Consider the following 16,232-nt stretch of genomic DNA (forward strand, 5'->3'; position numbering starts at 1 on the left):
AAAACTTGTTCATTCTTCATTGCCCTCAAGATAAAATGTAACCTTTTTATGATGGCATAAAAGAGCCTTCAAAACTTAGTCCCAAATGATCTTTACAGCTTCATTTTCCACTATAAACTTCCCTTCTGTATACATCATATTCCAAGTTTTCTGAAGGAACTATATACATTTTAACACCTCTGGCTTTTTAATTTGACTGCTCTGTATGCCTAAAATTCTCTTCCCATCCCTCATCAAAAACTTAAGCCCATCTTTAGAGACCCAAGTGGGCTGTTACCTCCTCAAAGTAACTCTCTCTAATACCTAGAAAAGTATATTAACATAGCCTTTTGTAAATGTCTACACCAAGAGATGATTTGCAATGCATTATTATCTCTTTGTGTGTCTATCTGTTCCATTGGGCTATGATTTTCCTAAGGTGAGTCACTATGTTTTTATATCTTTTGTATCACCATTCAAATACAAAAGGATGGATGATGCTTACTCTTATGATTTGGACTTTGAAGCATGGGAGGGAAGTATGACTTGGTTTCTCATCCCATTTTAACACCATGAAGTGAAAAAAACAGAGAGTCCCTGAGTATGTGCCCATCCTCTGCCTAGAAGAAGCTTTATGTAACACTGATGACTGGCATTTTGCTGACTTGGAAAGTAATGATAGAAGAAAGGATAATGACTGGCATCAGACCATGATCCCCTAAACATCCAGACATCCTTTGGTTTGAAGGGAAGTAAATATTCCTAAGAAGTAGAAATTCCTACTAAATTATTGGATATGGTCATGGTTACCAATTCTATTTGAATAAGAAATTACTTAAAAGAATATAAATCTTCAAGTATGCTAATAATCCCCTTATTCTTGGAGCCGGGGACTGTAAAAGTCCCTATGCCTTTCTATTTGCCTTTGAAATTGAGGCACAACTCCAACAGAAAGCTTTCCTTGACCACCCTGGGCTGTCAAGGAAAGTAATCTCTTCGTGTTGCTCTGCCATCACGATATTCATTCACATTGCTATCTCTATCCTTATTACTTTGTATTCTAATTGTTGTTTATAGGTTGTGGGTTTCTCAAAAGAGGCTGGATCTTGGTCCTCATTTGTCTCTACTTCCTAACAGAACTCCAGAAAAATTATCAGCATTCATCAATATGTGTTGGATGAAAGAATCAATCCATCAGTATTATAAAATGTAAGCTTATAGACCAGGGATTTTAAAGTCTACCTAGCTAAATTTTCATAAGAAGTTTTCTATACCCTTTGCTCATATCTAGGATTTTAAAAACATTTAGAAAATTAGAATTCCTAAATGTAAGAGAGAAAATTTTTATCTTCAGGCTCTGCACAAGCATGTTAGTTATATTCTCAGGCATTGACTAGAGTGCTTGAGTGGGTCAAGACACTGTCATTAGGAACAGAAATATTAAAAATAATAACATATGAAGAAAATCTGTAATAGGGCAAAACCCACAATGTGTAAGCCACGCTCCTTTTTTAAAATCTGAAACAAAGTCACAGACCCGGAAATATTTTTACAGTTTGCTACATTATTATTTTGGACTGGGTGCACAGTTTAGTTTCTATTTTTATTTCTAAGTTTAAAAAAAACTGTAAAAAAAAACTGGGTTCTCTAACAACTAGAATAACCTTTTGGAGCTGTTCATATACCACACTTGGACTTTATAGAGAAATCTGGCTAACTTACTTTTGGAGAACAAGAGTCTTACAACAGAGAAGTAGTTTCTACGAATGCAGCTAGAAGTATATATATTTTTTAATACTGAATATTCTTGAGAAATGAAAATGACATGGATTTGATACCTTTGGGGCTTTAGAACCAACAGAATAATGCAGGCAGTTTGTGCTTGTATAATCCTCTTGGAAGATTCCAAAAAAGTAATGACCTAGAATTGAAAGACATGTGTGAAGCACCATAGGAATACCATGAGTGCATGAAAACAAGATTCCCCTGTTCTAAAGGTCTTGGTGGCTTATGAGTGGGGTATACAAAATAAGGAGCTGCTTTCTTTCCAACTAAGAGGAACAAGACCTCTTCCAGGATAGTTTTGAGCTAGCTAGTGGATCTGGCAGTGAATTTACACTTTCTAAATAGATATTCCAGCTTTCTCTGACCCTTTTCCCTCTTAGGCTCTCATCTAGCAAAGAAAACCAGCTTATTTTCTCTTTGAAGGTTAGTGCTGTGTGATGTATCTCAGATCTTGCTCCAGATGCAGTTACTCCCATGCTTTGAATACAGTAAATGCTTATCCTTCGTATCTTTAAAACAAAAAGGGTATAGATTCGGGTTTAAAAGGACCTGAATTTGAGGCCTGGCTCTCTCATCAATGAGCAATTATGTTTAGATGGTTGGAATAAGAACAAATTTTATTATAACATTATCAAGTTTAACTAAAATTATGGCAATGTCTATTTTATAGGTTTGTATAGACTAAATGGAGCATACGTATAAAGAGTCACACACCTAAGGAATGGTAGATTCTTGTTTTGGTTGATATTCTAGAGAAGGCTTTTGTTGATCACTTTGAACGTAGAGCAGGAATACAATCTGTGATGGTTAATATTGAGTGTCAGCTTGATTGGATTGAAGGATACACAGTATTGTTCTTGGGTGTGTCTATGAGGATGTTGCCAAAGGAGGTTAACATTTGAGTCAGTGGACTAGGAGAGGCAGACCCACCCTCAATCTTGATGGGCACCATCTAATCAGCTGCCAGTGTGGCTAGCATAAAGCAAGCAAACATGGAAGGACTAGACTGGCTGAGTCTTCCAGCCTCTGTCTTTCTCCCGTGTTAGATGCTTCCTGCCATCGAACATTGGACTCCAAGTATTTCAGCTTTTGGGCTCCTGGACTACACCAGTGGTTTGCCAGGGGCTCTTAGGCCTTTGGCCACAGACTGAAGGCTGTCCTGTCAGTTTCCCTACTTTTGAGGTTTTGGGAATCGAACTGGCTTCCTTGCTCCTCAGCTTGCAGAGGGCCTATTGTGGGACTTCCCCTTGTGATCCTGTGAGTCACTTGTCCTTAATAAACTCCCTTTCATATATGCATCTATCCTATTAGTTCTGTTTCTCTAGAGAACCCTAACTAATACGCAATCCCCGTAGGAGAGTTCTGTAGAAATAGAGATGAAAAGGGCAAGGCTAAAGTCTTTCCTTGCATACATGAGACATACTTGGGTAGCATTTCTGTAGAGCCCAGTAATCACTTGTGTTGCTTGGTTTACTCTGACATGAATTTGGAAGCTTGCACTCTCAGTTTTAAAGTGGATGTGAAGTACAGAGATGAATGGTTCTTTTTGAACTGAATGGCTTTAAAGATATCTTTGCACAGGATAAACTCATCAGGAGTGGCAAGTGATAAATGAGGGTTATAAAAATTTAGGAATCTTTTACTTATCCTAATTGATGGCTCTCACAAGAGGATTCACAACTTTTTTGTTAGTTGCTCTTTACTTTCTCCAATGTCTGAAGTCTTAAAACAGCAGAGAGTTTGAGGGGTTTTCGTAAAGTTAATTAATGTTAATTGTGTCATGAATTACTTTAAGGAGTCTGTTGAGTGATGGACCCAGAGAAGAGGGTCGATACCATTTAATGTTCAATAGGGGATAATGCTGGTCTTTGGCACCGTTTTACGATCATTAGGGCCATGCTAAAGCTTGTCAGGAACAGCTCTAAAGATCAGTTGCTCATGGCAATTAAAACAATTGAAAATGACCTGGTATTACATTATACATGATGCAACACTGCTCCCAGTATGAACAAACTTTCATTCCATTAGTGATTTTCAATTTCATACCAAGCACTGCAATTTATTTTTCTTAGTTACCTAACTATGGCTGTCTCTGTACTTCTAGCAGGATATTATTAATATTTATCCTATTATCTCATACAACATTTCATACTTAAAGCACTTTGCAATCTTAACTAATTAATCTTTATATCCTGCCTAAAAGGATGGTAAAATACCCTTTTAGAGTTAGGGAAACTGGGTTGAGAGTGGTTAAGAATTGGCCATCAAGAAAATGATCTGATGGGTTCGAAGGGCTACATTTGGGCCTTTTTTCTCTCCCCTTGCAACGAAAATTAATGAACCTTTGTCTTGAAAGATCATACCCTGAAGTATAAATGGCCTCTTACCCCCTAAGAGAGGCAAATGGAATTATTTTTAATAGAATCTATTCTCCAAGCAAAAAAGAATTTAAAAAATTTGTCACCAATAAATACAGAGAATAGAAAGAGGTTTAGTGATTTTTTTTCATGTTAAAACTGTTACCTATTTTGAGGAACTAGAGAACTAAATTTTATTCAAAGTACATAAAGTATATACAAATTTTTCAAAAACAATATGTTTTAGAGATATAATAATAGAAAGAATACCTAATAAATATTAGACAGATATCAGGGATGGTAAGAACATGACTAAGCTGTAACAATGAACTGGTAAATTTTATATTTCCTCTAATTTGCTGATCAGGCAACTGAAGCTTGGAGAGTTTGACTTACTTATGAATACATATTTGATAAACAACAATGCTTAAACCAAAACACAAGTCTGTCTGAATCAGAAGTCCTTAGTTTTTAGGTTACAAAAATACCACTTCCCTGGTAGTGAACAGAAACTAACTAATTTCCAATTTACAAATCCCGTACTTGACACAACAATGATCTGTTTTATTCTGATGCATTGTCTTATTAGACTCATTACTAAAGACCACTCTGCATGCCCCAAATGTGCTGTCTTTCCTTCACCACTCCCACCCCTCAGCAGAGTTTGTGCCCCCAACCCAACCAAAACTTCTACCTTCTGCCTCCCTGCATCCCTTCCTCTCCTCAGGGGTCATGAAAGAACTGATGTCACAGCCCCCGCTCCTACAAATCTGATTCTTTCACTATCAAACGAGGCCTTACCCTAATCTGAATAAGTTTGATACCTTCTGCCCATACTTTTCTCTTACTTTTATGGAGAAAGGTGTCCACATTTTAAACAATGGATTTAAATACCATTTTGAAACTAACCTTGTTATGAACCGAAGACACACACATATAACTGTCTTTTTCTTTTGACTTCTTTTTCTTCTTCCTCTTGTCCTCCCCATGCCCTCATCTCCTCCTCCCAACCTGTTCCTCATTCTCTTTCTCTTCATCTTCCTTATCACATAGTTCTAAGCTTTTAATGCATGTTGGAATAATAGTAAATGTATTTTATATAGTCAGAGATATTAGTTTAAATCAATTTTGTCTGGGTGACTGAAATGTATTCTAAAATGATTTCATTTTATATCCATTTTGGAAATGCTAAATTATGTGCAGTGGACATGGAAAGGAATGTATTGATACTATAGGGATTTGTCATGGGAAACCACTGTGCTAACAACAAATATGTTTACAAGATACATATTTAACTCAGGTGAAAGTGAGACAACAAAAGAAAACTAATAAACCAATAGAAACTGCTTCTACAGAGGATGATTTATGTTACCTAAAGATCTCTATTCCACCTGGATTCAGTTATTTAGAAATTATGACAAAACCGAACGATTCTGCAAGATAAAGCATTGAAAATTTTGAGGTAATGGGGAAAATCCAAATGGATAGGGGAAAATTCATAGGGATAGGGGAAAACCAGCAAGGTTGGGTGGTATATAGAAACAGTAAAAACACTGCATAAGTACATAAATGATCCTTATGGCTATTAACCAAGGAGGAATTGCAAAGAATAAAAATATAGGTTAGAGTATCTATATGAAATCCTGCGCATTGTAAGATATTAAAATCTATAAAGACTACAAAAATAAATAAAAATCTTGTTCTGACTTTTTTTCCTATTCATCAAAGTTCATTTTGGCTACACCTATGAAAGGTCAAAAATAAAAAGTAAGAGGTAAAAAATGTAACCAATAATACAAATGTTTTGAAACATACACTTTACTCATATGCATTAAACTGTACTTTTTCAGTCTTCTCTGTTCTTTTCTGATAATGCAATTCTGTTTGTCTTACTTGTTACTCGAATTTTTTTCACCTGTGGAATACTGTTTGCACATTTATTTTTGTGATTTTTTAGCAAGAAAGAAGGGAAAGCTGATGAGTCATTTTCAACTTTTTTATTCTAAAAAAATTGGAGAAATTAACCTCTTATTGAGACCTACAATGTGCATAACCTGTGTGACAAGCTCAAAGAAGGATTTCAATCAAGTAAGGCTATGGTTAAGCTTGTTAACCAGCTTCATGCTTATTATCTAATCAAGACAGTGACACATGAAAACATAAAACTGTAAAGAATAATTTTGGTAAATAAGTGTCCCAAATGAATAAATATTACAATCAGGGACTACTGTAGAAATCCTGAAGAGGCAACATTACTTTCAACAGTCATGCCACACGTACATTTATACTTTTAAGTTGAATTTAAGAAAAAATAACAATTTAAATGTGTTTTTAGTTTGGTGCCATTGGGGTAGTGATCCAACTTTTAGAATCACAGTTTATATACTTTCTGGGAGCAAATATAAACATATTATCATATCCATGTCCAGTTAAATGATAAGGAAAGTCGTGGGTCTGATGTGAATGGAAGATATACAATTTGGGGATTCACATTTACTCTCTCCATCTCTTAGGCTTGTGCAGCAAGTATGCACCACAGCATTCTAAAACCTGTGATAGCTACTCCATAGTATAACTTGGGTGAGTCTTGTGTAAAACCAGTGCATTATGGCTGTCTTAATATTAGAGTAACTATGTCAAAGTGATTTTTCCTATGTTGTGGATATCTAATGATAGTGACAGGAAGTAATTGTGAAAAGCGAGAGCTCAGACTGGTTTGTGGTTTAGGTTACTTTTTGGATATTAGTGGACAATATTTGGCATAAGACACTATATTATTGAGCCTGAATTATTAAATCTAATATACAGTACAGTGTGACTCTGGTTTTTAGTGGAGCTGAGGTTGGATGTTGCTTTCCTGGGGACACTGTTGACATATAAAAAGACATGTACACATCCCATACATAATGCTCTTTCAGCACATCATACAAAGAAGACATTGTTTGAGACTTTTAACACCACCAAAAATCATGCCAGCTAAAGAAAAAGGAAATAAATCCCAAAAGCCTTCTCTTTTTCAAAATCTTCTAGTTTCCATTTTATATGAAATTATTCCTATATTCTTTCTATGAGTATTCTTCCATTCAAATACATTTTATAATGTATATTAAAATATTAAGCTAATGTTCTCTATAAACGGATTTATATTTGACATCCTACAGTGTACTGAAATACTAGCTTTCTGCTGTTAAATATGTTGCTTCTTATAAAGCTCTGCTTTTTTTGTGGAAAGAACCAAATAGTTTAAAAAATTATGTCACAGAATAGCATGTAAATGACTGAGAACAAACTAGTAGAACTCATCTTCTGAGTGAATTTGGAACTGCCTATTTTTTCCTTCAGCAATACCCAGTAATGCACAAACAGTTCTGTATTAGATTATTTGTCAATGTTATTTTATGAAGAAATTTAATAAAATTTACTACTCTGCAATCCATTGAGCACTTCCTAACTTAATTGTCATATTCTGCATTTCCTGAGATTTACAATTAAAATTGTGATGAGCCAGACATACAAACTATTCCTTTTGTGACAAGACAGGTTATTTGTGTTTTACCAAAATTACCTGAGATTTTTATTTATGAAATAAAAATCTATTAAAATCAATTTCACCCATCTATAAGTATCTATATGTAATATATTTTGTCTGAATATTTTTTCAACCTGTTTCTCTCCATTCCCACCACAAAAAAGATAGTTCAATTTACTATTTATGTCCATGCCAGATCCAGTTAATAAAAAATAATGGCCCTGACATTTTATATTTTCCGAGGATGATCAAATAAGAAATGGTCTCCAGACCAGAGTAAACATTTATTGTGATTAAGAAATGTTTAGTCTTCCTTATATCATTGTCACTAGTCACCAGTATTACTTTCTAAATCTTTAAAAAAAACACACATATTAGTTTATATTATTATTGTGTCTTTTTTAAAAACTTAAGTTTAATTGGTAGAAAGACCAATACAAATATGAGAAACCACATTACTAATATTGCTCTTTCTGTGGTAATTAATGTGCTTGTAAATAGAAAACAGCATAGGATCAAAAATTAAGATTTTATTTTTATTACATTTTCTAGGTGATAAATTTAAATACTTGTAACAATTTGCCACTGGATTTAAAAATATATAGGATATTCCTTACTAAACAGGGATACAAAAGTCCATCTTTCTTTATGCCAGTTCCCTTGTTTGTTCTTTCTAGTATCTTGGCTGGCGGCAGTGGGAATGAAGTATCATATTGATTAATGACTTTGTATGTGATTTTATATAGGCATTAAATGAGAGAATCAACTTTAAGAAAACCATTTACTTATTCATTTCACCACACTCTCAACAACTACTGATTAATTTCCAGATATTGGACTTGATGACAGGCCGATTAGGAAAATAATAGCCTTGTTAATTGAGGAATTTGAGAAAAGGAGACCATTGGCAGGTAACATTGACAACACTCCAAATTCCATTTTAGAAGTGTCTTGACCAGTTTTGGACTGCTTGGAGAAGTTCTGAACAAGTTTAAATAGCTCTCTGGTTGATATCTGAGTATTTCTTGCTTCCATACCTAATTTTATGGCTTGAAAAATTGACCTCTTTGAGGGTCAGCATCCTACAAGTAAAATGGAATTAATACCACCAACCTTATAGTATTGGGTGGAAAAACTGCACAGTGTATATATGAAGATACTTTGTCAACTATAGAAAGTTATGCAATGAATTATATTGCTGGAAAGACATTTAACTAAAAAAATCTAGAGGGCATTTGTGTAAGTGTAACTTAAGTATACAGGACTATAGATTTATATATTGCAGTTTAAAAAAAGAATTTTAATAAAAATCTTAGAAGCAAATGACCTTTCCTAGCACATCAAAAAGATAATTTGCCATGATGAAGTGGGCTTTATTCCAGGGATGCAAGGATGGTTTGACATATGCAAATCAATAAATGTAATCCACTGCATAAACAGAACTAAGAACGAAAACCATATTATCATCTCAATAGATGCAGAAAAAGTATTTGATAAAATCCAACATCACTTCATGATAAAAACCCTCAACAAGCTAGGCATAGAGAGAATATACCTCAGAATAATGAGAGCCATCTCTGGCAAACCCACAACTAACATCACATTGAATGGGGAAAAATGGAAAGCATGTCCTCTAAGAACAGGAACAAGGCAGACTGGGAGTAAAGATTTACAAATTATGCCTCTGACAAAGGATTAATTTTGACAATCTATAAGGAACTGAAAAAACTCAACAAGAAAAGCAAACAACCCCATTAAAACCTGGGCAAAGGACATGAACAGGTATTTCTAAAAAGAAGAAATACAAGCAGCCAAAAAACACAAGAAAAAATTCTCGACATCACTAATTATCAGAGAAATGCAAATTAAAACCACAATGAGATACCATCTTAGAACATTCAGGGTGGCTTTTACTAAAAAGTCAAAAAACAACATGTTTTTTGGTGTCCACCAATAGCTGATTGGATAAAGAAAATTTTGTATATATACTTTATGGAATAGTATGCAGCCATAAAAAGGATGAAATTATGTCCTTTGCAGCAACATAAATGGAGCTGGAGGTCATTGTCCTAAGTGAACTAACACAGAAGCACAAAATCAAATATTGCATGTTCTCACTTACAAGTGGAAGCTAAACAAAGGATACATATAGACATAAACTTGGGGAAAACAGAATCTGGGGACTCCAGGGAGGGAGGGAGGGATGTGATGGTTGAAAAATTACCTACTGGGCGCAATATTCAATATTTGGGTGATGGGTAGACTAGAAGTCCATCCCCCACCATTTCTCATGTAATATCCATGTAACAAAAAATGACACATACCCTCTGAATCTAAAATTTAAAAAAAATAAAATAAACAAAATACGCAGAACAGCTAACACAGAGTAGTGAGCCAAGAACGCTTAATCATTTGACTAGGGAGCAAAGACAAAAGACCAGTATACTCCAGAGGACATCATAGACAATCACAAGATATTACAGATGTTTTTTGTTAAACAAAAATTTGTAAGATTTGTATCTATTTTCTCTGTTAATGACCAATTCTACTTTGTTTACAGTTAGCTATCATCCATTGAAATGAAACCAATATTAAATATTATTAAGGCAATAAAAATACTTAAGCTAAAATAAAAGGAATCAGATTAAAAAAAAGGTGGGGGTGGGGGGAGGCAATGCCCAAGATTTGAAAGAGAAATAGGACAGTGCAGTCACAGAAGCCAGAAACACCAAGCCTAATCGATGCTAGGTCCATGATAGAAAAACCACATACCTCACTGACAGATACACAGGTGCTTCATTATATTAAAGAGGATGTTTTCAGCAAATAATTATGAAGATTAAGAACTACAGATGAAATAAGAGGTGTTGTCTTTACCAAGTCTCTCTCCTTTATCTCTCAAGCCAATCACATGCCAAATCCAGTTCTTTCTGTCTGCACAAATATCTCTTTAAATTCCTCCTCACTTTCATCACCCCTACTGTGAGAAGTTGAGTGGAATTATATTCTAATAGAAGCTTCCTAATTTCTCAGACCTCAAACTTAGACGGCCAGATCCCTAAGAGAGAATAAAGAGGACATATGGAACTTGATGACGAGAGGATTTTACTCCAAACCTGTTAGTTTGCTCTGACTATCATAATGGAATACCACAGGCTGGGTGGCTTCAACAGCAGAAATGAATTTTCTCACACTTCCGGAGGCTGGAAGTCCAAGATCAAGGTGCCATCAGGTTTGGTTTCTGATGATGCCTCTCTTCCTGGCTTGTAGATGACCACCTTCTTGCTGTATCCTCACATGGCCTTTCCTTTGACCATATATGAGAAAAAGATCTGTGCTGTCTCTTCCTCTTCTTATAAGGACATTGGTCCTATCAGACTGGGGCCTCCTTTTATTACCTCACTTTGCCTTACTTTCTTCCCTAAAGCATCTTCAAATACAGTCACATTGAGGGTCAGGGCTTAATGTCCCATGCTTTCATTTTTAGGACATGATGCTTCTGCTAAAACTGTCGCCTCGGCTTGCAATGTCTTGTCTCTCAAGGCTCACTTCTAATTTCCAGGGCTTCTGTGACAGGGGGAAGAAATCATTCCCAAAACTCCTTGAGCAGAAGTTAGTTGCTGACTTGTCTGTCTTTATCAAATATTCTGAGCTTGTTAAGGCCGAGAATGTTTGTTCATATTTTAACTAACATAGCCAAAACAACAGAGAAGCAGCCCTTTCACATAGTAGGTGCTCAGTAATTGCTCTATCAATAAATGAATATATTGTGAGAAAATGAGAGAGGTTATGTAGAAGAGTTCTTAGAAATGTGTGTTAGGCAAAGAAAGGTGAAAAACAGAATATGTCCTTAAGAAGAATAAAAGCTATTATTTTTCTCAAAAGGGAGAAACTATCTTCATTTTATAAAAAGAAGCTAAGAACATGCTTCCTCTGACCACTTAGATGAAACCGCCACATAAATGACAGACAACGCAAATCTAATTTGCTAGGCATCACGAAACGCAGCTTGATTGAAAAGGATGCATATGTCATTTTCCTGGTGTAGCAACAAGAAAAACGACCAAAGAGGTGGATATGAGCAGAAACAATTAAAATATGCCCTTTATAACACATAAAGTAAAAAAAAAAAAAAATCCCTGTACCTCACTTCATAACCTAAGGAAGAGTAGAAAAGTGTCCATGGAAAAATGGTCTATTGTGGTAAAAAAAAAAAAAAAAAAAAAAAAAAGAGTCTTGTTCAGAGTTCACACTGAGTATCTTTTCGTAAGAAATTATATAGCAGCGCAATTAAAATGAAATACTAATTGTAACAAGAAAAGATGGTGACTGCAGAACATAACTCAGCCTTAATAGATTTTCTAATGCCTTTCTTTATACCAAAGGGGAGTACCCCTTTAGCCAATAAAGTAAATTTTCTGATCTCCAAATGGATACTTTATCCTCATTCAGGCTGATATTGCAGCGACATCATGAATTTCTCAGACAGCTTTGTGAATCAGCAGAGTATTTCAGAGGGGAACACTGAGTGCTAAAAGCAAAGTCATTTTTTAAAGAGCCTTTAAATAAGTAGATGAAACATTTCATTTTGGGTCAAGGATGCATTTACTCCAGCAACCTGGAAGAGCAGAGAGGGCCGAATCAGTTGGGAAGAAATCGAATAATGTTACCGTATCAGCCAAACCTCAAATTACATAGTTTTGCAGGTCAAACATTTTTGACTTTTCCTTTTTCGCATCCATGTCTATAATTCTTATTTTCAAAAAGCTTAAGTATTTATATTTGATGAACTATCACCCTGTGTTTCTAAAGTATCTTTGAAAAGCCATTAACTAATTTGCTCATAATAAACTTTCAGGTCTAGAAGAAACTGGTTTTCTTTCTAGTTAAATAATCTGTTGAAAAGAAAAAGAAGGCAAGAAAAATGGAAACATCCTAATGCAACCACTTAGCAAATGTTCTGAGTGCCACCACGTGTCAATACTGTCTTAGGTGCTAGGAATACTGAAGCAGGCAGGCAAAGTCCTTTTCCTCACTTCTAGTTATACTAAAGAACAGTGACTCCTACCATAGATAGTGATCAAAGGTCAAGTTAACTGGACCCGAGGTAGGGATTTTTCTCTCCTTTGCTCTGGAGCATTTATGAGTGTTTATGAATAATTAAAATTGAGATTTAAGCTTAACTCAATCTTGAATTGCTTAATATAGACTTAGGTTTTAATAAAAACTTGCATATATTTTACCTCCCATTCTTTATTGATATAAATATACCTTAGCTTGGAAATTCTGAGTAGATCAGGTAATACCTTTAAAATGTTATATTGCCTACAGAATCGGGTTGAGAGTATAGCCTAGGATATTTATAAAAATATATAATGCTGAAACTATGTGTGTTCAGAAAAAAACATTTTCCTACACAAAATAATATTTATATATTACTGACAAATTTCTTTCTTTTTTCCTCCCCTCCCTCCGTTCCTCCCCTCCTCCCTCCCTCCCTTCCTTTCCTTCCTTCCTTCCTTCCCTCCTTCCCCCCTTTCTTCCTTTCTTCTTTTTTTCTATATCTATGTGTATTCTTCAGTATTTACACACAGATGCTCCATGATGGGTCACATCCAAACTTATCATAAAGTCAAAAAATTGTAAGTCAGACTATCACAAGTCAGAAACCATCTGTATGTACATTCTTGTGTCTAGTCACTTGTGTGGGAATGAAGGAGGGAGGAGGGAAGAAGGAGGAGAGGTGTATCTGGTGTAGATAGTTTAAATTCCAGATTTCCCCTCAAGAGGAAATTTTGGTCTTCAAATTATAATTCTGTGGTTTTCCTGTTGTCTGCTGACAAGTTTTTAACTAATGTAGAATCAAGGGATTTTACGCTACAGAAAGTTTATTCCTAAGATGAGTGTCTCGATCTAATCTTATTTCATAGTTGTTACATCTGTGTATGAAATGTATCATTATTTATGTATGTTTTCAACTCATATTTATTCTTAAATATATTTAGCCTTATCCCAAACAATAATAAATTGAAATCACAGTTTGGTATTACATATGTATGTGTGAGATACACACACACACACACACACACAGAGATTCCATTAAACAATAAAATTAATATATAGTCATAAATATGTGTTACTTAAGCCAGGGATCAACAAACTTTTCCTGTAAAGAGCCTGGCAACAAATGATTTAGGGTTTTTTTAGACCCAGAGTAGTTTATGTCACAGCTACTCAACTCTGCTGTTCTAGTACAACAGCCATAGACAAATAAATGGATGGGCATGGTTGTGTTCCAGTAAAACTTTATTTATAAAAACAGGCTAGATGTGGCCCATGGGCTATATATTTTAGTTCCATGATCTAGATATATCCCACATCACCAATGATAGGCATACCATTCTTTGCGAAATAATGCTTTAACATAATTTTTGAGTTATGATGCTAGTGTATATCCAGCCCTTTTGTACTTCTTAGATAGCATTCCTGGCCCCAAAAGTGTGGTGGGTTTCTGTCAAGATCTGCACAACAATGGAGAGATTGAAAGAACCTATGCTGGTATTCCTGCTTAGAAAAGAATAAAACACGCTCCTATGCTGGTATTCCTGCTTAGAAAAGAATAAAACACGCTGTGCCGATTAGTATTTTAAGTTTTCTAAGTGTTCTCGGTGGTAGGTTGAAAAAAAGTAATATGAGTTAGCAGGCTTAAAAATCTTAAAGTACAAAAATTTTTATAACACACTCACATTTATTACTTCAGTAATAAGATGTGTATGTCAACTACATATCATATCTTTACTATTAAAATGTAAATTCATTGAGGGAGAGGACCTTGAATATTTATTCTTGTTTCCCATACATTTCTGCATGCAATAATATCCTAATAATTATTTACTGAATGAAGAGTGATAGATGAATAATGAATAAATAAGAAAATAGAGCAAGTATAAAATTAGAGGAAAAGAAATAGTTAAGTAAATAGCATGTTAATTTATTTGCAGAAGTAGGATTTCTTGTTAAGAATATAAAAATCAGCTATGGCATTACAGATGGACTGTAAGTACTTAAAAAGCAATAGATTAACTGTTGAATTAGATAGCAAAATATAGATAGTAGATAATATGCGTTCTCATAAAAATAAACAACATCTAACAGGAGACTTCTCATAAATAATTTGATACAATTTGAACAAACCTTAATTTTCAATAGAATAAGAATATTTGAAAAATGAAGAATGTTGAAGTTTTACTGTTCTTTTAATTCATTTTTTAACATGGCATGTAATGTTCTTATTAAATTAACTAACATCTTATTCTTTTCTCTGTAGCAAGAATTAAATTTGAAAGACCATATGAAGAAGCACAGTATTTATCCAACCAACATTAAAATGTCACTCTGGGAGATTATTTCAAATTACTTTTATAGTTTTGAATGATTTTTAATATTATCATTGATAAACCATCTAAGTTATAAGTAAAATATTTCAAGTTTAGAAAAAAGACTGTTGGGCCAGGTGTGGTGGCTCACACCTGTAATCCCAGCACTTTGGAAGGCCGAGGCAGGCGGATCACCTGAGGTCAGGAGTTCAAGACCACCCTGGCCAGCATAGTGAAACCTCATCTCTACAAAGATACAGAACTTAGCCGGGCATATTGGCGGGTGCCTGTAATCCCAGCTACTCAGGAGGCTGAGGCGGGAGAATGGCTTGAACCCAGGAGGCGGAGGTTGTAGTGAGCCGAGATCACGCCACTGCACTTCAGCCTGGGCGACAGAGCGAGATTCCATGTCAAAAAAAAAAAAAAAAAAGACTGTTGAAGATTTTATGTCATTTTTCACAATACACTCAAGGTTCTTACTACTCTAAAAGTGCTTTTACAGTTTGTTAGGCAACTAACATACCATTTAAAATAGATTGAACTCTCTATTTACTCAATATACCATATCAGTTTCAAATGGTTATGAGTAGTGGTTTAAGAAAGTACCATACTTTAAATGTAGCTTTGATAAATATTTACAAGAATGGCTCTAATGCATCTGACAGATACTTCCATTAAAGGATATATATTTGTGTGGGGTGGCTTTATCTGAGGAAAAAAGCTTACACTAAAAATAAGATAGGGAATATATTGACAAACACATTAGAACATATTGCCTTCTATAGTTTAATATCACATTTGATGTTTAAAGAGTTGACCCTCATTTAGCTTGAAGTTACAAAATATCACTTGGACTAAGTGGCTAGAAAATAGAGCATCAGAAATAGTAATCATCTTTATTACCTAGAAAATACAGAAATGCCAAAAACTTATTAAATCACAAAATATTATGTCTAAGATTTAAAATAGCAATAGCAATAATTTAAAAAGATATTTTTAATGAGGAAAATATATTACTATTCTTATTAGTGAAATAGTTCTAATTTATCTACCATGATGAAATCATATATGGGAGATAAATTATAAGTATATGCATATACATAATCACTCTAATTATTTCAAGACTTTTGAGCAGCAGTATCTTTTTTAAGTAAGCTATATATTACTATTAATTCACTGGGCAGTGCAATTACAGGGAATTTTCTT

The 16,232-nt window shown here is 34.5% G+C and overlaps 1 long non-coding RNA gene across 1 annotated transcript in view; it reads left to right on the plus strand.

Annotated features, from left to right (window-relative positions):
• LOC107986770 (uncharacterized) overlaps positions 1–13,374 on the plus strand; it is a 407,223-nt gene extending 393,849 nt beyond the window's left edge. The window contains exon 3 of the long non-coding RNA XR_001745097.2: positions 13,232–13,374. This is a non-coding gene — a long non-coding RNA (uncharacterized LOC107986770). The remainder of the gene's footprint in view (positions 1–13,231) is intronic.
• Positions 13,375–16,232: the final 2,858 nt, after the last annotated feature.

This window comes from Homo sapiens, chromosome 7 (assembly GCF_000001405.40).
Source record: "Homo sapiens chromosome 7, GRCh38.p14 Primary Assembly".
Classification (NCBI taxonomy): Eukaryota; Metazoa; Chordata; class Mammalia; order Primates; family Hominidae; genus Homo; species Homo sapiens.